This window comes from Homo sapiens, chromosome 8 (assembly GCF_000001405.40).
Source record: "Homo sapiens chromosome 8, GRCh38.p14 Primary Assembly".
Lineage (NCBI taxonomy): Eukaryota > Metazoa > Chordata > Mammalia > Primates > Hominidae > Homo > Homo sapiens.
The window spans coordinates 30,056,940-30,058,139 of NC_000008.11; the positions used below are offsets into that span (position 1 = coordinate 30,056,940).

The following is a 1,200-nucleotide window of genomic DNA, read 5'->3' on the forward strand; positions in this document are numbered from 1 at the left end:
AACCTGAGACTGTCCTTGGACAGTTTGGGCTCCTCATGCTACTGAACAAATGGACAAAGTAAGGGGCCACTCTAACAGGTAATTCATCCTAATTATCAAGGGAAAATTAGGTTGCTGGCCAGGCGCGGTGGCTCATGCCTGTAATCCCAGCACTTTGGGAGGCCAAGACGGGCGGATCACTTGAATTCAGGCGTTCATGACCAGCCTGGCCAACATGGTGAAACCCCGTCTCTACTAAAAATACAAAAATTAGCCAGGCATGGTGATGGGCACCTGTAATCCTAGCTACCCTGGAGACTGAGGCAGGTGAATCACTTGAACCCAGGAGGCAGAGTTTGCAGTGAGCCAAGATCACACCACTGCACTAAAGCCTGGGCAACAGAGCAAGACTATTCTGAAAAAAGAAAAAAAAATGAATATTAAAATGACTCTTGAGCTTGCCCAATAACCTGGACCTATCACAGAGCCTTCTTTTGTTCTAGGCTCCTGTTAAAACTAGCAGCTTTGCGATCAGTCAGTAAATGGACTAGAGTTGCATACCACATAAGGAATATGTTGCCCGCAAGATCCACTAGGTATTGCATCATTTTTTTCATCTGGAGCCAGATGTAACGATTTATCCTTGGCCTTAGAAAGATATTTCAACATGTCCCATACTACTGGACTCCTAGAAATTTCCCTGAGGTAGAAAGCCCCTGAATCTTTGTCAGATTTGTTTCCCACCCTCTAACATACAAATGCCTTACCAATACATCTACAGTAGTTGCTACTTCTTGGTAGTTGCTCTTCTTGCTCATCAGATCCAATCAGCTTAATATAATAAATGTCATGGACCAGTGTGAAGTCTTGTGGAAGGGAAAGGTAACCAAGGTCCTTGCAGACTAAATTATGACATAGGACTGAAAAGTGAAGGTGTATTGCTGGCCCTGCCAGCTGAAAGCAAGCTGCTTCTGATGGTGTGTACTAACAGGTATGGAGGAAAAGCATTTGCCAGAGCACTTGTGTTTCAACTACCAGATATGTTCATGTACCCAAGTGATGAAACTACATCTGGAACAGCAGTTGCAATTGAAGTCACCATCTGGGTAAGTTTATGACAACCTATTATTACTCTCTATCCGTTTTCGGCACAGGCCAAATAGGCGAGTTGAATGGGGATGTGGTAGGAAGCACCAGCCCTATATCCTTCAAGTCCTTGAT

The 1,200-nt window shown here is 44.3% G+C and overlaps 1 annotated feature.

The window, feature by feature from the left end:
* Positions 1-1,200: an enhancer, noted in NCBI's record as "MED14-independent group 3 enhancer chr8:29914456-29915655 (GRCh37/hg19 assembly coordinates)". NCBI's record gives its function as "activates an origin of replication core promoter dependent on BRD2, BRD4, P300/CBP and CDK7 cofactors, and independent of MED14, by STARR-seq in HCT116 cells {active_cell/tissue: HCT116}" and the evidence as "EXISTENCE:reporter gene assay evidence [ECO:0000049][PMID:35650434]".